The 22,024-nt window shown below is 40.7% G+C and overlaps 1 protein-coding gene across 6 annotated transcripts in view, besides 1 other annotated feature; it reads left to right on the plus strand.

The window, feature by feature from the left end:
• Positions 1-22,024, plus strand: part of RNF138 (ring finger protein 138) — a 39,688-nt gene that overhangs the window by 5,717 nt on the left and 11,947 nt on the right. For 4 of the 6 annotated variants that reach the window (XR_935225.3, NM_016271.5, XM_005258285.2 and 1 more), the window contains 2 exons: positions 14,164-14,329; positions 16,155-16,270. The exons of the other annotated variants lie outside the window; for them this stretch is intronic. Coding sequence is in view for 3 of the 4 variants with exons in the window: in NM_016271.5 (NP_057355.2) it covers positions 14,164-14,329; positions 16,155-16,270 (282 nt within the window). In the remaining variant the exon portion in view is untranslated. The remainder of the gene's footprint in view (positions 1-14,163; positions 14,330-16,154; positions 16,271-22,024) is intronic. 6 annotated transcript variants of the gene reach the window in all.
• Positions 9,122-9,221: an enhancer, noted in NCBI's record as "active region_13212". NCBI's record gives its function as "activates an Ori minimal core promoter by ATAC-STARR-seq in GM12878 lymphoblastoid cells {active_cell/tissue: GM12878}" and the evidence as "EXISTENCE:reporter gene assay evidence [ECO:0000049][PMID:35858748]".

A 22,024-nucleotide genomic window follows, 5' to 3' on the forward strand; every position in this document is an offset into this window, starting at 1 on the left:
CTCCTGCCTCGTCCTCCTGAGTAGCTGGGACTACAGGCACAACAAGTAGCTGGACTACAGGCATGCACCACCATGCTCGGCTAATTTTTGTTTTTTGTTTTTTTGTATTTTTAGTAGAGATGAGGTTTCACTATATTGGCCAGGCTGGTCTCGAACCCCTGCGCTCAAGTGATCTGCCCGCCTTGGCCTCCGAAAGTGCTGGGATTATAGGCATGAGCCACTATCCTCGGCCTAATTAATTAATTTAGAAACAGGGTCTCACTCTGTTGCTCGGGCTATATATATGTATATATGTGTATGTATATGTGTATGTATGTGTATTTGTGTGTGTGTGTGTATATGTGTATGTATATATGTGTGTGTGTGTGTGTGTGTGTGTGTGTGTGTTATTTTTGTTTGTTTGTTTGTTTGTTTTGAGACAGTCTCACTGTGTTGCCCAGGCTGGATTGCAGTGGTGCGGTCTTGGCTCACTGCAACCTCCCACCTCCCTGGTTCAAGCGATTCTACTCCCTCAGCCTCCCAAGTAGTTGGGATTACAGGCGTGCACCATCACGCCCTGCTAATTTTTTGTATTTTTAGTAGAGACAGGGTTTTACCATGTTGGCCAGGCTGGTTTTGAACTCCAGGCTGGTTTTGAACTCCTGACCTCAAGTGATCCTCTTGCCTTGGCCTCCCAAAGTGCTAGGATTACAGGTGTGAGCCACTGCGCCCACAATATATTTCTTATAGTTTAAATTTTTTAGAGATGGGGTCTTGCTTTGTTGCTCAGGCTGGTCTCAAACTCCTGGTCTCAAGCAGTCCTCCCACCTGAGCCTCCTGAGTAGTGGGGACTACAGGTGAGTGCCACAGCACCTGGCTTTGTAATTTTAACAGCTTTATTGGTATCTTGTTACTTGAGTAGTTATGCTCTAAGTATATACTTTAAAATAATTTTCTTCTTTCCTAAAATCTGTGCTATTTAATTATATAATAAAGGTTGAGGCCGGGCGCAGTGGCTCACGCCTGTCATCCCAGCACTTTGGGAGGCCGAGGCAGGCGGATCACAAGGTCAGGAGATCGAGACCATCCTGGCTAACACAGTGAAACCCTGTCTCTACTAAAAATACAAAAAAATTAGCCGGGTGTGGCGGCAGGCGCCTGTAATCCCAGCTGTTCGGGAGGCTGAGGCAGGAGAATGGCATGAACCCGGGAGGTGGAGCTTGCAGTGAGCTGAGATGGTGCCACTGCACTCCAGCCCGGGCGACAGAGTGAGACTCCGTTTCAAAAAAAAAAAAAAAAAGATTTACTTAATTTTAAATCTTGAGGACTAGTTTACAACCTTTGATTTTTTTTTTTTTTGAAGTTTTTTTGGGGAATGATCTCGATTATCGACTCGGAAAATAGATAGACTAAGTGCCAGATTTTAAATTATTTAATTTATACTGAAATTGGGAGCATGATGAGTGGGAATATTGTTTTTCCTCTCCCAGTGTTGTTGATTAGCCTTTTGTTGGGAGAATGCGTAATGGAAATTCGTCTAGCATCTGCTAGTTTAAAGTTGAGAGAAATGTAAAGAGACCTTTTTTGGTTATAGGGTAATGCCCTGTTCTGAAGATACGGGCCTTTTCAGGAACATGAAAATTAGTTTTAGTAATTCTTGATTTGTACCTTTTTCCTTCCTACTTCTGCTTTGTTTTGAAATAAGTTCTGTCTAGCACTTTGATCCATTCCAGCCCAAAGTGAGATGAGAATAATTCGTTTTATGTCTGAAGAAACATGCTTGGTTGTACAGAGGAAGGAACAGTAAAATTGGAGATAAGAGACCTGAATATCTCTATTTTATTTTATTTTTAGACAAAATCTCGCTCTGTTGCCCAGACTGGAGTGCAGTGGTGCAGTCTTGGCTCACCGCAACCTCCACCCATTGGGTTCAAGAGATTCTCCTGCCCCAATCTCCCGTGTAGCTGGAACTACAGGCATGCACCACTATACCCGGCTAATTTTTTTGTATTTTTAGTAGAGATGGTGTTGCACCATGTTGGTCAGGCTGGTCTCCAACTCCTGACCCCAAATGATCTGCCCCGCCTCGGCCTCCCAAAGTGCTAGGATTACAGGTGTGAGCCACTGCACCCGGCCATTCTTTGTACCTGTTATCACAGTTTGTAATCATAACATTTTTGGAATCAGATAATTTGACCAATGTCAGTTTCACTGGTTAGGCTGCAAGCTTTATAAAGAAAGCATCCAAGATCTCCTGTTACTTACTTAAGCCTACTAATATATCGTTTCACATATGAGAGTTTTTCCTGCCAGCTAAATTCTGACAAATGGAATTGCTGGGTCAAAGGGTAGATACAAACAAATATTTCTGATACATCACACAAGAATAATTGCAGCTCTAGTGAAGTGTCTTGTTCATGGAAAGTGCTCAAGGTTTTGATTTGAGAACTGTCAATTATATCTTTTGGTTAAGGGATTTAATACTTTTTAAATTAAGGTAAATTGGCATTCATTGCTTTAGCAAATATTAGGACTGCCTAATAGGTGCCTAGCACTGTTAGGTGCCAGGGATATTGTAAAGAGCAAATAGATAGGATCCCTGCCCTCTTGGAGCTGGGTGTTAGTGATTGAGATATATATATATATATATATAAAATCTTTGGTTGTACAGGGGAAGGAACAGTAAAATTGGACATAAGAGACCTGAATACCTCTATTTTATTATTTTATATATATATTTGAGACAGGGTCTTTCTCTGTTGCTCTGTTGCCCAGGCTAGAGTGCAGTGGCATGATCATGGCTCACTGCAGCCTTGACCTCTCTGGGCTCAAGTAATCCCCCTTTAGCCTTCCCAGTAGCTGGGACTACAGGCATGTGCCACCACCACACCCAACTAACTTTTTTTTTTTTTTTTTTTTTTTTGAGACGGAGTTTTGCTCTTGTTGGCCAGGCTGGAGTGCAATGGCGCGATCTCGGCTCACTGCAACCTCCGTCTCCCGGGTTTAAGCGATTTTCCTGCCTCAGCCTCCCAAGTAGCTGGGATTAAAGGCATGCGCCACCAGGCCTGGCTAATTTTGTATTTTTAATAGAGACGGGGGTTTCACCATGTTGGTCAGGCTGGTCTCGAACTCCCAACCTCAGGTGATCCACCCACCTCGGCCTACCAAAGTGTTGGGATTACAGGCGTGAGCCCCCGCGCCCGGCCTGTATTTTTTGTATAGACTGGGTTTCACCATGTTGGCCGGGCTGGTCTCGAATGCCTGAGCTCAAGCGATCTGCTCGCCTTGGCCTCCCAGAGTGCTGGGATCACAGGCCTGAGCCACTGCGCCTGGCCTGAGATATATTTAAATTAAAATAAATGCTCAGAAAAATGGTGTAATTACAAATGTATAGGTTTCGAGAGAGTATAAGAGAGGGATCAGATCTAGTGGGTGAGTATCGATGACCCTTTCTTTAGGAAGTGATATTGTTGCTGATATCTAAGAGAGATATAGGTATTAATTTGTGGAGGGCTGTGCTCGTGCATAGAACATTCTGGGGAGAAGAAACATTCTGGACAAAGGTCCCGAGGTAGGAGGGAACATGCAGGGCTTTGTATTTGAATGACAGAAACATCTTCTGGGCTTCAACCTCTTATAGGTTTCTTTTTTTTTTTTTTTTCAAAGACAGAGTCTGGCTCTGTTGTCCAGGCTGGAGTGCAGTGGCACACGCAGTCTTGGCTCACTGTAACCTCCGCCTCCTAGGTTCAAGCCATTCTTCTACCTCAGTCTTCTGAGTAGCTGGGATTACAGGCGTGCACCACCACTCCTGGCTAATTTTTGTGTATATATATATATTTTTAAATTAGAGTCAGGGTTTCACCATGTTGGCCAGATTGGTCTTGAACTCCTGACCTCAAGTGATTTGCCTGCCTCACTCTTACAGGTTTATTAACATTTTATTTTTTTAAGCCTTAGTTTCCTCATCTGTAAAATGAAGGAACTTATTAAGAAAAATTTATTTTTTTTTAAGAATTCAAGATCATGAATGGATAGTTTCTGGGATCCAGCCTAGCACCTAGCACATATTATGTACGCAATAAGTGTTAACTGCTATTTTCATAAATGTCATGTTGCTTTCCCAAAAATTGAGCTAATTTACAAAATGCCATTAGTACTATAAAAGTATATTTGTAATCCATCATCTTTGCCAATTTTGTTTTTTTAAGCATTTTTATGCTATTTTAATACAGTTCATAGTGGTGTCTAGAAGTCACATTAAAATGTATTTCTTTAGTTGCTAGCAAGGCTGCATGCATTTTTCCATATTACATTTTTGCTTGTTTGAGACAGGGTCTAACTCTGTTGCCCAGGCTGGAGTGCAGGGGCATAATCACGGCTTACTGCAGCCTCAACCTCCTAGGCTTAAGCGATCCTCCCACCTCAGCCTCCCAAGTAGCTGGGACTACAGGCGTGCACCACCATGCCTGGCTGATTTTTTTTTTTTTTTCTTCAGTAGAGAGGAGGTCTCGCTGTGTTACCCAGAATGGCCTCAAACTCCTGGACTCAAGTGATGCTCTGGCCAGGGCTTCCCAAAGTGCTGGTATTACAGGTGTGAGCCACCACACCTGACCTTCTTTTAGTTTCTTTTTTTTTTTTTTTTTTTTTTTTGAGACGGAGTCTTGTTCTGTCACCCAGGCTGGAGTGCAGTGGCGCGATGTCGGCTCACTGCAAGCTCCACCTCCCAGGTTCACACCATTCTCCTGCCTCAGCCTCCCGAGTAGCTGGGACTACAGGCGCCCGCCGCCACGCCCGGCTAATTTTTTGTATTTTTAGTAGAGATGGGGTTTCACCATGTTAGCTGGGATGGTCTCAATCTCCTGACCTCGTGATCCGCCTGCCTCAGCCTCCCAAAGTACTGGGATTACAGGCGTGAGCCACTGTGCCTGGCCCTTTTTTTTAGTTTCTTATATGAATGTTTTTAATAATATCACTAGTCTGTAGTAATGCAATTAATATTTGAAGAGTTTGTATTGTACAGTTTGTCACCTGATTTATCACATGTAATTTTGGAGGTTAATTTGGGATTTTCTTTTTTTTTTGAGAAATAGTCTCCTTCCGTTGCCCAGGCTGGAGTACAGTGGCACTATCTCGGCTCACTGAAACCTCCATCTCCCAGGTTCAAGTGATTCTCCTGCCTCAGCCTCCTGAGTAGCTGGGATTACAGGTGCGCAACACCACGCCCAGCTAATTTTTATTTTCAGTAGAGACGGGGTTTCACCATGTTGGCCAGGCTGGTCTTGAACTCCTGACCTTAGGTGATCCACCTGCCTTGGCCTCACAAAGTGTAGGGATTACAGGTGTGAGCCACCATGCCTGGCCAATTTGGGATTTTCTAACAAAATAGTTTTGTGATCTAAATTGATTTTTTGCTTTTCTATATTTTTATGCCTTTAAATATTTGCTTTGTCTTTATAGCCTATATATATACATGTGTGTATATGTATATTTTTGAATCCAGACCATTGCATTTATTAGTTGTGTGCCAATATTTTTGAAAGTAAATGCTGAATAGAAATTGTTGGCTTTGTTTCTCCTTTTTTAGTAAAAATTCATTCAGCATTTGTTTATTTTTCATTTTTTGGTTAGAGACTAGTTTTAATTTAACTCTGTTGCCCAGGCTGGAGTACAGTGGGGTGGGGTGATCATTGTTCACTGTAGCTTTGAACTCCTGGAGTTAAGGAATTCTACTGCCTCATCCTTGCAAGTAGCTGAGACTACAGGTGCACACCACCATACCTCACTAATTTTTAAAAATTTTTGTAGAGGTGGGGAAATCTCACTATGTTGCCCAGGCTGGTCTTGAACTCCTAGGCTCAAATAATCCTCCTGCCTCAGCCTCCCAAAGTGTTGAGATTATAGGTGCGAGCCACTGTGTCTGGTCTCATTCAGCATTTGATTAAACATTTTTGTGTACCTGATATTCAAGGCACCAAGAAAAAAAAAAGGTTTGTCCTTCAAAGAACACAATCAATAAACAGCAATTTTCCACAAAATATTTTTATTATCCCTTTTTATCATTAAAAAAATTTTTTTAGACAAGAGTACATGTTGAGCTTTTGAAAACTTCATGGGCCGGGTGTGGTGGCTCACGCCTGTAATCCCAGCACTTTGGGAGGCCGAGGCGGGTGGATCACGAGGTCAGGAGATCGAGATCATCCTGGCTAACATGGTGAAACCCCATCTCTACTAAAAATACAAAAAAAAATTAGCCGGGCGCGGTGGCGGGCACCTGTAGTCCCAGCTACTCGGGAGGCTGAGGCAGGAGATGGTGTGAACCCTGGAGGCAGAGCTTGCAGTGAGCTGAGATTGCGCCACTGCACTCCAGCCTGGGCGACAGAGCAAGACTCCGTCTCAGAAAAAAAAAAGAAAACTTCATAGCAAATTAGGAATAGGCTAAAAAACTTTTTTTTTTTTTTTTTGGAGGCAGAGTCTAGTTCTGTCGCCCATGCCAGAGTGCAGTGGCCTGATCTTGGCTCACTGCAACCTCTGCCTTCTGGGTTCAAGCAATTCTAGTGACTTAGCCTCCCAAATAGTTGGGATTACAGGTATATGCCACCATGCCTGGCGAATTTTTGTATTTTAGTAGAGACAGGGTTTCACCATGTTGGCCAGGTTGGTCTCGAACTCCTGAGGTCAAATGATCCCCCCACTTCGGCGTCCCAAAGGGCTGAGATTACATGCATAAGCCACCAGACCTGGCCTAAAAGTTTAAAAAAAAAAATCCTCATTAAGGGTGGCTTCCCTAAAATCTATAGCAAATATACCTAGTTGTAAGCTTTAGGTGCTTTTCTAGTTAGGAACTAGTCAAAGAAGTCTGCATCACCCCTGACATTTAACATTGTATTTCAGGTTTTAGACAATTCAGTGAGAGAAGAAGAAATCAGATACACAGAGATGGAAAAGGAAGAGATAAAATTGTCATAATTTGTCGATTAAAAACAAGAGAAACAATAAGAGTACAGGGAGGTTTGATGCAAGAACAGACAAAAATCAACAACATATCTTTATACCAGCAGTAATCAGATAAAAAATTAATAGAAGAAAAACGTCACTTACAATAGCAACAAAATTATAATGTTATTTGGACTAAACAATAAAAATATACACAGCTTCTTAAAGAAAATTACAAAACTTTATTGAAAAGTGTAAGAGAACATGACATTTATGGTTAGAAAGATTTAATAAATTTAAGGTATCAATTTTCTCCACACAGTTCTAAACATACAGTTCTGGTGAAGTCCCAACATGATTTTTTGGTAGAACTTGAAAAATGGATTAAAAAATTCTAATAAAGAGCTAATGATTATGAATAACTAAGAAAATATTTGAAAAAGAAGAACATGCAGATAGCACAACCCTATCAGATATAATGAGATATTATGAAACAATAGTAATTAGTATGGTTGGCTTCTTTGATTTTCCTGTGAAAGTATTATTAAATTAAAAATATAAAAATACAAAATGAAAATTAAAAAATCATATGCTTTTTTCTCTTTTTGAGATGGAGTCTCCCTCTGTCCCCCAGGCTGGAGTGCAGTGGCACCATCTTGGCTCACTGCAACTTCTGCCTCCTGAGTTTAAGTGATTCTCCTGCCTCAGCCTCCTGAGTAGCTGGGATTACATGCACCTGCCACCATACATGGCTAATTTTTGTATTTTTAGTAGAGACAGGTTTCACCATGTTGGCCAGGCTGGTCTTGAACTCCTGACCTCAATTGATCCACCCACCTCGGCCTCCCAAAGTGCTGGGATTACAGGCATGAGCCACCGCACTGGCCAAATCGTATGGTGTTCATTCAGCAGTAGATAAATGACTAGAATATACTACAGAGTCCAGAAATAGTTCCACACGTTTTGGAACTTTTTATCTTTGATAGACGTGACATTGCAAATGAATGAGGAAAAGGTGGCTTTGATCAGTAAGATAGTATTTGGGCAATAGCTTTATATGTAGAATCTCTGCTGTGTGCTATACATGATAATATTTCCAGATGGATTGAAAACTTTAATGAGCAAAGCTTAAACTTTAGAAGGAAATGTGGGGGAATATCTCTGATCCTGAAGTGGGGAATTCTTAAGACTGCAAAAGCATAAACCATAATTTTAGGAAAAGGCCATGTCTAAAAGTTAAAAAATTTCCATATCGGAAGACCACAAGCAGCAAGGTTAAAGACAAATGATGGACTGAATGTCGTCTGTTCTACTTGCTGCAACAGATTATATCAGAACAGATAGCTTTCTATGTGACTTTTTTCCCCCTGAAAATTGTTTTGGTCCATCAACAAATGGTAGCTGAAGCAAAGCACATCAAAACATAGCTGAATATAACAAACCATAGAATTAAGCACTATGACACAAGGTGCCCAACATTCATTCTTCTTAGTTCAGTTTGGCTATGAGTTCTCTCTTGGAATACCTATTGCATGTTTCTCCTTTCCCTTGTGCATTTTAAATTTATTTCCATAATTTAACAGCTTCAACCACTTATCCCTCTCTTCTTTTAAAAAAATTTTAGGGTGAAGTGTTTATTAGGAACTTTACATACCTTTTCAGAATTGTTCGTATTTTTATTTGGATTGTTTGGGTTTTGTTAGTAGTCTGGCGACAAGGTTGCACGAGTGGTCTATTCCAACCATTTTTTTCCATAAGCCCTATAAGTTTTAGTGTGCGGGTATGCAGAATGCCAAGGTTTTCAGTGTTTCATATGTTACATTATATCAGAAATGCCTTAAGTGATACAAAATGATTTAATATCCAGAAGATGCAGTTCTAGGTTATAAATCATTTCTCCTCAGAACTTTGAACACATCATTCTATTTGTCATTTGTTATTGCTCATGAGTTTGATGCTAATCTGATTCTCTTTCCTTAGTAGGTGATCTATTTTTACTTCCTCTCTGGAAGATACTAGAAGTTGAAAAATTATTTTTTATTTTATTTTATTTATTTATTTATTTATTTATTTGTTTATTGAGATGGAGTCTCGCTCTGTCACACAGGCTTGAGTGCAGTTGTGCGATCTCGGTTCATGGCAAGCTCCGCCTCCCAGGTTCACGCCATCCTCCTGCCTCAGCCTCTTGAGTAGCTGGGACTACAGGCGCCCGTCACCATGCCTAGCTAATTTTTTGTATTTTTAGTAGAGACAGGGTTTCACCGTGTTAGAGCCAGGATGATCTTGATTTCCTGACCTCGTGATCCGCCTGCCTCGGCCTCCCAAAGTGCTGGTATTACAGGCGTGAGCCACCGCGCCCGGCTGAAAAATTATTATTTGAAGTTTTTCCAGTAATCTCTCTGGTTGTGACTCTTAAATTTATTGTACAGGTCCTTCACTTGTCTCTATTCTGCTGACATATTTTTTAGCTCTGGAAATTCCCCTCACACTCTCACTTTCTCCTTTTGTTTCTTTGAAAATAATTTTCTCTTTCTGTCTCCTATGGCTACTGGGCCACTGGATTAGGGCTCTTGTGTGTTAACTGTCTCTGGTTAAATTCACTTTCCTTTTTTCCTTTTTTTTTTTTTTTTTTTTTGGAGACGGAATCTCGCTCTGTCACCCAGGCTGGAGTGCAGTGGCGCGATCTCGGCTCCCTGCAACCTCTGCCTCCCGGGTTTAAGCAGTTCTCCTGCCTCAGCCTCCTGAGTAGCTGGGACTACAGGTGCACGCTGCCACGCCCAGCTAATTTTTTTTTGTATTTTAGTAGAGACGGCATTCCACTGTGTTGCCCAGGCTGGTCTCGAACTCAGCTCAGGCAGTCCGCCCTCCTCGGCCTCCCAAAATGCTGGGATTACAGGTGTGAGCCACTGTACCTGGCCCACTTTCCTTTTTTTCTAGTAATTTGTCCTTTTTTAAATTTTAGCAGTTTTTTTTTAAAGGCCAGTTAGAAGATAATCTTAATTTAGTTTTTTGTTTGTTTGTTTGTTTGTTTGTTTTGAGATGGAGTCTCACCCTGTCACCCAGGCTGGAGTGCAATGGCACGATCTTGGCTCACTGCAACCTCTGCCTCCCAGGTTCAAGTGATTCTCCTACCTCAGCCTCCCAAGTAGCTAGGATTACAGGCGTGTGCCACCATGCCTGGCTAATTTTTTGTATTAGTCAAGACGGGGTTTCACCATGTTGGCCAGGCTAGTCTCGAACTCCTGACCTTGTTATCCACCCGCCTCAGCCTCCCAAAGTGCTGGGATTACAGGTGTGAGCCACTGTGCCGGCCTTATTTAATTATTTTTATAACAGTTTTAATATAACTACCCTTGTTTAAAGGGTACTTTTTTTTTGGAGACGGATTCTCGCTCTGTCGCCCAGATTGGGGCGCGATCTCGGCTCACTGCAAGCTCCACCTCCCAGGTACGAGTGATTCTCCTGCCTTAGCCTCCTGAGTAGCTGGGATTACAGGCACCTGCCACCACACCTGGCTGATTTTTGTATTTTTAGTATAGATGGAGTTTTGCCATGTTGGCCAGGCTGGTCTTGACCTCCTGACTTCAGGTGATCCACCCGCCTCGGCTCCTCAAGGTGCTGGGATTACAGGCGTAAGCCACCATGCCTGGCCAAATATTTTTTATTTAAGTATAAAATGCATACAGAAACGTGTCCCTATCACAGATATCCAGCTCAGTGAATTTTCCCAAATTGAGTACACCCATATCAAGCAACCATTCAACACCTATGTCAAGCAACAGATTATTAGCATCCCAGAAACTCCCCTAATGTTCCCTTCTCTAAGGGAACATATCCCACCTCCTTCAGGATACCATTATCCTGACCTTTAACATAGTTTAAGTGCTTTTTGTACATTCTAAAAAATAGAATCGTGCAGTTTGTACTCTTTTATATCTGGCTTGTTTAGCTCAACATTATATCATTATGTTCATATTGTTGCTTATAGCTGTAACATTTTCATTCTCAATACATCATATTGTAATTTTCATTTTGTGAATATACCATAATTAGTTATGCATTCTTCTGTTGGCGGACCTATGTATAGTTTTCAGTTTGGGGCTATTATAAATAGTGTGGCTATGAACTTTCTAGCAAATTTTTTCTGATTATATATGTAATTTTTGTTTTGTTTGGTTTTTAAATAGATGCAGGGTCTCACTCTTGCTCAGGTAGAAGGGTAATGGAGTGATCATAGCTCACTGCAGCCTTGACCCCCTGGACTCAAGCAATCCTCCTGCCTTAGTCTCTCAAGTAGCTAGGACTACAGGCATGCACCACCGTGCCCAGCTAATTTTTTATTTTTATTTTTAATTTTTTTACAGGAGCAAAGTCTCACTATGTTGTCCAGGCTGGCCTCAAGTAATCCTCCCGCCTTGGCCTCCCAAAGTGCTGGGATTATAGGCATAAGCCACTGCCCATGGTTTTATGTATATAGGTTTGATGGGTATATACTTCAGAGTGGAATTTATGCGCTCTAATGGATATTGCCACCCAGTTTTCCAAATGGTTGTAAAAGTTTATACTCCCATAGCCTCCAATGTGAGTTTAGGTTGGTTCATATCCTCCCTAACACTTGGTATTTCCCACCGTTTTCATTTTTGTCTTTTTCTTTCTTTTTTTTTTTTTTTAAACAAGGTCTCACTCTGTTGCTCAGGCTGAAGTGCAGTGGCACGATCTCAGCTCACTGCAACCTCTGCCTCACAGGCTCAAGTGATCCTCTCACCTCAGCCTCCTGAGTAGCTGGGACTACAGGCATGTGCCACCATGCCAGGCTAGTAGAGATGGGGTTTCACCATGTTGCCCAGGCTGGTCTTGTGAGCTTAAGCCATTTGCCCCGCTCAGCCTCTCAAAGTGCAGGATTACAGGTGTGAGCCACTGTGCCTGGCCATTGTTTTATTATTACTATTTTTTTAGAGACAGGGTCATGCTGTGTTACCCAGGCGGGCCTTGAACTCATTGGCTCAAGAGACCCTCCCACCTCAGCCTCCCAAGTGGCTAAGACTACAGGTACATGCTGCTGTGCCCAGATTTGGTTACTTTTACTATTTTTAAAACTAGTTTTGCTGGGCACCATGGCTCACGCCTGTAATCCCAACACTTTGGGAGGCTGAGATGGCTGGATCACTTGAACTCAGGAGTTCAAGACTAGCCTGAGCAACTGGCAAAATCCCATCTCTACAAAAAGTACAAAAATTAGCCGTCGCAGTGGTGCATGCCTGTAGTCCCACCTACTGGGTAGGCTGAGGCAGGAAAATTACTTGAGCCCTGGAGGCAGAGGTTGCAGTGAGCCAAGATCGCACCAGTGTACTCCAGCCTGGGCGACAGAGCGAGGCTCTGTCTCAAAAAAATAAAATAAATAAAACTAGTTTTTAGTTTGGCAAGTGAAAACTGGCATCTTGTTTACTTTGCGTTATTTTGGTTTCTGGCTATGGTAAATATTTTTAATTGTTATTGTTTTTTGAGAGACAGTATTGCTCTGTCACCCAGGCTGGAATGCAGTGGCACCTTCATAGCTCACTACAGCTTCAACCTCCTGGGCTCAAGTGATCCTTCGCCTCAGCCTCCTGAGTAGCTGGGACTGGACGTGCATGCTACTATACCCAGCTAATTTTTTTTATTTTTAATTTTTGTAGAGACAGGGTCTTGCTATGTTGCCCAGGCTGGTCTTCAACTCCTTGCCTCAAGCTGTCCTCCTGCCTTGTCCTCCCAAAGCACTGGGATTATAGGCATGAGCCACTACGCCCTGCCTAATGTTTTAGTTTATGGTGTTAATTGGTAATGACTTCTAGTGCTGCTTTAATGATATTAACTACTATTTATTGAGCACTTTCCTGACCATGACAAATAATGTGTTAAGCATTTTATACTTGTTATCTATTTTAATCCTCTGAACAGCCGAATCAGTTGTAGATACTTTTATTATTTCGTGAGTGAGGAAACTGATATTAGAGGGAAAAACTGACTTGTTTAAAAGTGCTGCATAGTTAGGAAACTCAGGTTATGTGATCTGTTACTGCACCATTTCCTCTCAACTTCTGTTAGTATAGAGGAGGAATATTCATATATATTTATAGGAGATTGGATTAAATGTATATGTATTCTAGATCCCAGATATATATGTCTGTAATTTAACTGGTTCTCTTGAAAGCAAAATGATCAAATAAGGTATTTGGTGGGGCTAGAGAAGATAAAAAGATTTTAGTTTGATTCTAATTAGAAAGTTGGTTATAAATGTTTAATCTTTTTTTTTTTTTGAGACGGAGTCTTGCTCTGTCGCCCAGGCTGGAGTGCAGTGGTGCAATCTCGGCTCACTGCAACCTCTGTCTCCTGGGTTCATGCCATTCTCCTGCCTCAGCCTCCCGGGTAGCTGAAACTACAGGCGCCTGTCACCACGCCCGGCTAATTTTTTATATTTTTAGTAGAGACGAGATTTCACCGTGGTAGCCAGAATGGTCTTGATCTCCTGACCACGTGATCCGCCTGCTTCAGCGTCCCAAAGTGCTGGGATTACAGGCGTGAGCCACCGTGCCCGGCAAAGCCGGAAGTATTCTTAAGTATTTCTCAAATTATGTTCCATTGCATACTGTTTGGGAAATTTCCCTACTTCCGGACCAAATAACCAAATATCTGTTAACACGCAGATAACTTTGGGTAACACCTAACTTTGGGTAAAACCTATTAACTTTATCCTAGAACTTCCCAAACCAATTTGTGTGCTCTTTTGTAGTAGACCTGTTTATGTCTTGTGGAACAACATGTCGATATACATCAGTTTGAGACAAAAGCTTATGTTACTCATCCTTTTATTTTGTAAGGGGAGGAAATGGAGATCCAGTGTGCGTTAATTTGTTGGCCTAAGATTACACAGCTACTAAATGGCAGAGCCAGGATCCGGTTTTTCCTTTGTACCATGCTTCCTCTAGTAATATTATTAATATGTAGCATTAATATTTATTCATCATATATTATGTTAAGAAGTTGTAAAGCAGACTTGAGTGTAATTGTTCAAATATTCCCATCTAGTCCAGTTATCAGTCTTACTCTCTGATAAATACATATACAGTTACTAAACTTCTGAGATTTATGTACATATGAGTAGCCTAACTTATTTAATATGAATACATATTTATAATCACTTGTTTGTATTTAATTATAGAGATGAAGAGAGTAATTTTTTTTGTAATTAATGTGTCACAATGTTTGGTTTAGTTTCTGTAGAAAATGTTTCCTGACTGCAATGAGGGAAAGCGGAGCACATTGTCCCCTATGTCGTGGAAATGTGACTAGAAGAGAGAGAGCATGTCCTGAACGGGCCTTAGACCTTGAAAATATAATGAGGAAGTTTTCTGGTAGCTGCAGATGCTGTGCAAAACAGGTAGAGTAAATGTGACATCTCTCTTCTTTGGAAGCCAAGTTTCTACTCTGAAATTCTTATTTGAATTTTCTTGGTTGGTGTTTTTTTTTTTTTTGAAAAGATGAAAGGTATTTAGACTGGGAATTGGATAGAAAAGGCCAAAAAAAGCTGTGGTCATAGATCTTACTAGATTATAAACTTACTGAGAAATGAGACTGAAAAAAAAATCACTGAATTTCATAATACTTAGCGTGGCATTTTTCTAAAAGTAATTTCTCATTGATTACTTGCTAAAGTAACTAAATTAGCAAGCTGGCATTTAGCTCATTTAAACCCCATTCTGGTACAAATTCACCCCTTAAGTTTTTCTCATGGTAGCATCATTATTGCAGCTTTACACATAGAAATGTTACTAGTTTGGGCACATGGATTTATGTAGTTTAAGGAACTCTCTAGCTCCTCACTTTACTTATGTATTTATGTATGTATTTAAGAAATCACAAGGGCCGGGCATGGTGGCTCATGCCTGTAATCCCAGCACTTATGGGAGGCCAAGGTGGGTGGATGACCTGAGGTCAGGAGTTCGAGACCAGCCTGACCAACATGGTGAAACCCCGTCTCTACTAAAAATAAAAAATCAGCCAGGTGTGGTGGCGCATGCCTATAATCCCAGCTACTTGGGAGGCTGAGGCAGAATTGTTTGAACCTGGGCGGCAGAGGTTGCGGTGAGCTGAGATTGCGCCATTGCACTCCAAACTGGGCAACAAGAGCGAAACGCTGTCTAAAAAAAAAGAAGAAGAAAGAAATCACAAAATATTTGGTTAATTTTAAGGAACATGTAGGAAAATCAGGTGTTAACAAATAACCAGCATTAATTCTCTAATCTGGATTTTATTCTATCATTTGGAGAAGGAATAAAATAGAGAGGGGTGGTTAGGCTTTGAGTATATCCATGTGTCTATAGATTTATCACCGACATTTTTTCTAATAGCTAATGAATTCAGTGAGCAAAGCTGGTTGCTATTTCATGCATTCACACAAGTCAGATCTGCTTTTACATCTTTTTGAAGGAAGTGTTTAACTGACAGGGCAATGACGTGAAGCTGGAAAACACACTCGAGAGATTCTGGCTATTCCTCTCAGTGAGAAACTGAAAAATGTTCCAAGTATTCCTGGCAACTTAATTTTTTTTGAGACAGGGTCTCACTTTGTCACCCAGGCTGGAGTACAGTGGCACAATCTCGGCTCACTGCAGCTTTGACTTCCCAGGCTCTAAGCAATCCTCCTGCCTCAGCCCCACAGGTAGCTGAGATTACACCTGGCTAATTTTTGTATTTTTTGTATAAACAGGATTTTGCCATATTGCTCAGGCTGGTCTTGAACCCCTGAACTCAAGCAGTCCACCCATCCCAGCCTCCCAAAAGGCTGGGATTACAAGCGCGAGCCACTGCACCCAGCCAGGAACTTAATTTTTTTTTAAGTGCTTTCTAACTCTGCCAGGCTGCAGAAGTTAAATAATAAGACATGCCCAATAGCATCTGGCATCCTCTTAGTGCTTTTAATTTTTTTGTCTACTGCTGGTAGTGTCTTTTCAAGTGTGAAGTTATTTGCTGTTTTTTGCAGTGAATTTATAGACAGATGGACTCTTCTCCATCTCTACATTTAATGAACAGAAATGTATTATCTATTCTTAACTCCTACTTAAGGATGAAATCATTTACTTTAAAAAAATACAACTCCTGTTTAAATGGAGTATTTAGTTACTTTTATTTTTTCCTCTCTTTACACTATTTCAAATCTTACGAGTTCTATTTTAAATTAAAAGTCACATTTTAATAATTTACAGATTAAATTCTATCGCATGAGACATCATTACAAATCTTGTAAGAAGTATCAGGATGAATATGGTGTTTCTTCTATCATTCCAAACTTTCAGATCTCTCAAGATTCAGTAGGGAACAGGTAAGCAATACTTATTCCTAAATACAGAATTTTCATAATTGAAATGGAAATTGTTTTGGGAACTATATGATAAGGTATTTGGGGGGATGTGTGTGTGTGTATGTGCACATGTGTTTTTAAAGTGAATTGCCAAGTATCAGAACTACAGCATTTGCCTTAAAATCTGTTTGGCACACGTAAGCTCTCATCTGGGAGATGACTTCATGAACTTCAGCTTATGTTATTTAAAATCATTCTAAGAATTTTCATTTTTTTGAGTAAAAAATAAGTTGGAGATTTTTCTCTTACTGATTTTGCAACTGAAATGATTTGAAAAACTATAGAAAATCCTTTTCAGTAATGTATTTGCAAACTACAACCTGTTTTTTCTTTGCTATCTAAGGGATAGACTTAGAGTTTGAAATTTTTATTCTAAAATGTCATGTAAAAATGAAACCAGGTGCAGTGCAGTTCTGTTTGAGTCTCATTTCTTTTAAACAACTAGATTTGGATTGATTTGTATCTTATCTCAGATTCATGTACATTAAACATTTTTATGAAATGTATTTTACACAGAAAAATGGCCAAAATGCACTTGTGGTTTAAAAAAATAATGATTAACATCCAGTTACCTATTAACCCAGGTCAAGAAAGAACATTTTTCAAAACTTCAGGATCTCTATGTGAGCTCCTGCCCATTTGAACCGTACACTCCTAGATGCAACCACTATTCTCTTATTTGGATTATTCATTCCTTTGATTTTCTTTATGTATCATCACCCATGCATGTATCCCTAAACAATGCATTGTTAATTTTGAAAACTTCAGTAGTAAGCACATACGTAACTGTAAGGAAAGACAATATTGCCACTATTATAGAAAGGTTCCCAGGAGACAGTATGTTAAGCAGTCTCTAATATTTTATTTTAGTAGCCTTTCATTTTACATATTGCTAATTTTTAGTAACTTAACCGCCCTTAAGCACTTCATGTTGATCATACTACATTAGGCGTCTTCCCTACTCAGTTGAAATTTCTGGTAAAAACCTTTAGTGATTGTCTGGTAAAGATCTGCAGTAATTTTCTGATTGCCTAGTCTGAAAAAACTTCAGGTTCTCATTTTACTTGACTTGTTAGTGTCAAGGAAATTTGTTTGAAAGTTGTTGCTCTTATAGTTTTTTTTTAGTCCTTCTGGGTTTCTTCATTTCTATGTTTTTCTTATTGTTGTACTTCTACTTTATTGTAATTTCCTATCTGCTTTTTTACCCAATAGATTGTTCTTAAGTGAGGGGATGGTGTTTGTCTTGTTGAGCATATCTCCAGCTTTTAGTAAAGTTCTTAGTATACATGATTGTAATCACGCTTTTAATGACCAAATTTTCTTATCAGGAGACAGGCCTTCCTCCCCCTTATTTCTTAGATCCACTTGGTCATAGACACTTGATTCCTAATAGCAATATTCCTCATCTGTACTTTTATTTTATCTTGTCACTTCCCTAGCTCAGGCCCTCATCATCTCTCACTCGAACTATGATAATAGCCTTTTTAGCTGGTAGTTATCCTCTAATCTGTTTTACATTCTATCGCCAAAGTAATATTAATGAAGTATAAAAGACAAAATTCTGGCTGGGCGCGGTGGCTCACACCTGTAATCCCAGCATTTTGGGAGGCCAAGGTGGGCAGATCACTTGAGGTCAGGAGTTCAAGACCAGCCTGGCCATCATGGTGAAACCTTGTCTCTACTAAAAATACAAAAATTAGCTGGACGTGGTGGCGCGTGCCTATAGTCCCAGCTACTTGGGAGGCTTAGGCAGGAGAATCACTTGACCCTAGGAAACGGAGGTTGCAGTGAGCCGAGAGCACATCACTGCACTCTAGCCTGGGCGACAGAGTCAGACTCCGTCTAAAACACACACACACGCACACACACGCACGCACGCACACACACACTTCCTTATTCCAAAGCCCTTTCTGATCTGGCCCTTTCCTCTCTTTTTATAGCCTCTTTCTTGGTTATCCATCGTTGCATCACATGCCTTAGCCATGTTGATTTATTTGTTCCCTCTCTTTGCCATTCTTGAAAAACAGTATGACTGTGGTTAAAAATGTGGGCTTGGAGCCGGAATGCTGGGTTCAAATTTCAGATGTCACTTACTAATTGTATTACATTGTCAAGAAACTGCCTCAGTTGTCTCATGTGTTTAAGGAAAGGTATGAGAGGCGATGATGATGATAGGTCCTCATTGAGTTGAAGTTAATAAATAAGTTAATACAGGTAAAGAAACTTGACTAGTACTTTGCTTGGAAAATGTTAGTTCTTCCTCATCATCCTCATTATCACTCCCTCACCTCCACACTTTTACCAGTAATATCCCAACCTGCATTTTGCCAGCTGATTGACTTTTTTCTTCTCCTTGAAGACTTAGACCAAGTGTTAGCTACTCAGTAAAATCCTTCCTGAGCTCTAGAATTTCTTCTTCTTGGTAGAACTGTTCTTTATGCTATTAGATCTCTAAACTTTATTGTATTTATTTATTTCAGCCTGTCTCTTCACCTAGAATGAGCTTTTTAGTCTTATTTATTTCTATATCCTTTGCGGAGTTCTGATTGCAATGGAAGAATTGAGTTTGTATGTGGATTTTTAGTCAGTAAGAAAATTGGCAAAGGAAGGAAAAGCTTTTTTTTTTTTTTTTAAATTTTTAAATTTATTTTGTTTGTTCTGTTTTGTTTTTAGACAGGGTCTTGCTCTGTCATCCAGCCTGGAGTGCAATGGCGTGAACATGGCTCACTGTAGCCTTGACCTCCTGGGCTCAAGCAGTCCTTCTGCCTCAGCCTCCCATGTAGCTAGGACCATGGGCGCATGCCACCACATCCATCTAATTTTTTGATTTTTTGGGGTGGGGGGGTGGTTTTTGGTGTTAAACACATTGAGATGGGGTCCTCAATTTGTTGCCCATGCTGGTCTCGAACTCCTGACCTCCGGTGATCCACCTGCCTTGGCCTTCCAAAGTGCTGGGATCACAGGTGTGAGCCACCACGCCTGGCCAGAAATGTTTATTTTTATTTTTAATTTATTTATTTGTAGACAGAGTTTTGCTCGTCTCCCAGGCTGGAGTGCAGTGGTGCGATCTCAGCTCACTACAACATCGACCTCCCAGGTTCAAGTGATTCTCCTGCCTAAGCCTCCTGAGTAGCTGGGATTACAGGTGCCCACCACCACGCCCAACTAATTTTTGTATTTTTTGTAGAGATGGGGTTTCACCATATTGGACAGGATGGTCTCGAACTCCTGACCTCAGGTGATCCACCTGCCTCGGCCTCCCAAAGTGATGGGATTACAGGCATGAACCACCCGCGCCCAGCCAGAAATTTTTTTTTTTTAATGGTAGGAAAAATATGATCTGTGTTATATTCACGGTCTGAGCAGGAAACAGTGGGCTCTAATTATGCGATTTGAGGAGAATTTAGTAAAGAGACTATTTTCAAAGAGTAGTATGTTAGGTACACTATATAAGTAGGGTATAGGAAGCCACAAGGAATAATGGTGTGCTCTGGGTCTACTGAAAGCAGGAGAGAGGAGGAAATAGATAACAGAACCTGAAGAAGAGAGCTGAATAGAGCATGGCTATGGAAATTCTTAAAGTGGCATTTGCATGCAACTGAGTAGAAAAAAAAATTGCAAAATAAATCCATAGATCATTTCACTAATTCATACTGTTTATTATACGTTCTGAAGTGCTGGACACACTCCACGTTATGAATATACGGGAATTGGTAAAACAGACATTATTTTTTCCATGTATCTAACTGTAAGCTATAACTTCCAGTTGAGCCATCTAAAATAATCTGTGTCACTTTCATTCATATCATTCAGAGTAGTACTGTTTACTGTAAATTAGTAAATATTGGAGGATGTTTTAGCAAAATTATTGCATTGGTGTGGGGTAGTTTCTCATAATAATTAGATAGCAGTGCTAATTTTACTAAGGCCATTCCTATTTTATAACAACATTCTGCTGCTAACATAAGATTATATATTTTTGTTTTCTTTAGCCACAGGAAGTGGGGAGGAGGAGGGAAGATGAATGTAATCATTAAGATACAGAAGACATTTCAATTTTATCCTCCTTGGAAATCATTTGGTCTGTTTTCAGGCTGTTCTTACTAATCTTGACTCTGTAAACGTTAGTAACTGGATGTCAGTAGGCTCATACAGTTTATTTCAAATACAGCTCTTCACAAAAACTAAAAAAAAATTACCAGCAGTCTTTTATTTTTCCTAATAAATTTCTCTCCAGATTGTTCAATATTTTAAGTGGCTAAATAGCTATGAAGAAATCTGGCATAGTATTAAAATGTTCTTTTTCTTGTTTATAGGCATTCTTCATATATTCTGGATAGTAATCCTTTGTTATGGCTGGGCGCAGTGGCTCACGCCTGTAGTCCCAGCTTTGGGAGGCCAAGGTGGGCAGATCACCTGAAGTCAGGAGTTCAAGACCAGCCTGGCCAACATGGTGAAACCCCATCTCTACTAAAAATACAAAAATTAGCCAGGCGTGGTGGCACACACCTGTAGTCCCAGCTACTCAGGAGGCTGAGGCAGGAGAATTTCTTGAACCCAGGAGGCAGAGGTTGCAGTGATCTGAGATCTGGCCACTGCATTCCAGCCTGGGAGACAGAGCAAGACTCTTTCTCAAAAAATAATAATAATGCCGGGCGCAGTGGCTCACGCCTGTAATCCCAGCACTTTGGGAGGCTGAGGTGGGTGGATCACTAGGTCAGAAGTTCGAGACCAGCCTGGCCAACATGGTGAAACCTTGTCTCTCCCAAAAATAGAAAAATTAGCTGGGCGTGGTGGTGCGCGCCTGTAATCCCAGCTACTCAGGAGGCTGAGGCAGGAGAATTCCTTGAACCCGGGAGGCCAAGGTTGCAGTGAGTCGGGATCGTGCCACTAACACTCCAGCCTGGGCGACAGAGCGAGACTCCGTCTCAAAAAAAAAGAAAATAATAATAATAATAATAATCCTTCATTACATGCATTGCAGATATTTTTGTTTAGTCTTTGGCTGGTTTTGTATGGTGTCTTTTGACATAGAAAAGTATTTACATGTATATGCATATTCTTTAATTTTCTTTTTATATCATGCCTGAGAAATTTTTTTCTACATGAAGGTTATAAAAGATATTTTCTTCTTAAACTTTAAAAGCTGAGCTTTTCACATTTATTTGGGATGTATAATGTGAGGTAGGAAAAATTTTCCCCATGTGATAAACCATTTGGTAACATTCATTGAGGAGTCAGTTCTTTGTCTACTGATTTATAATGCCACTTCTGTTCTACACATCTCTGCATCCTGATTTTTTCTGGGGGAGGGGCAGTAGGAGGTGATCCATTGTTCATTCCTCTAGAAATATGACCTCTCTCATTTTACTATTTATTTTATTGAGGCAGGGTCTCGCTATGTTTCCCAGGCCCGTCTCAAACTCTGGGGATCAAACAGTCCTCCCGCCTTGGCCTCCTAAAGTGTTGGGATCACAGGCATGAGCCTCTGTGGTGCCTGGCCTCTTTCTCATTTTATTTTATTTTATTTATTTTATTTTTTTGAGACAGAGTCTAACTCTGTCTCTCAGGCTGGAGTGCAATGGCGTGATCTCAGCTCACTACAACCTCTGCCTCTGGGTTCAAGTGATTCTTCTGCCTCAGACTCCCGAGTAGCTGGGACTACAGGCATGTGCCACCACGCCTGGCTAATTTTTGTATTTTTGGTAGAGACAG

Source organism: Homo sapiens, chromosome 18 (assembly GCF_000001405.40).
Source record: "Homo sapiens chromosome 18, GRCh38.p14 Primary Assembly".
NCBI lineage: Eukaryota > Metazoa > Chordata > Mammalia > Primates > Hominidae > Homo > Homo sapiens.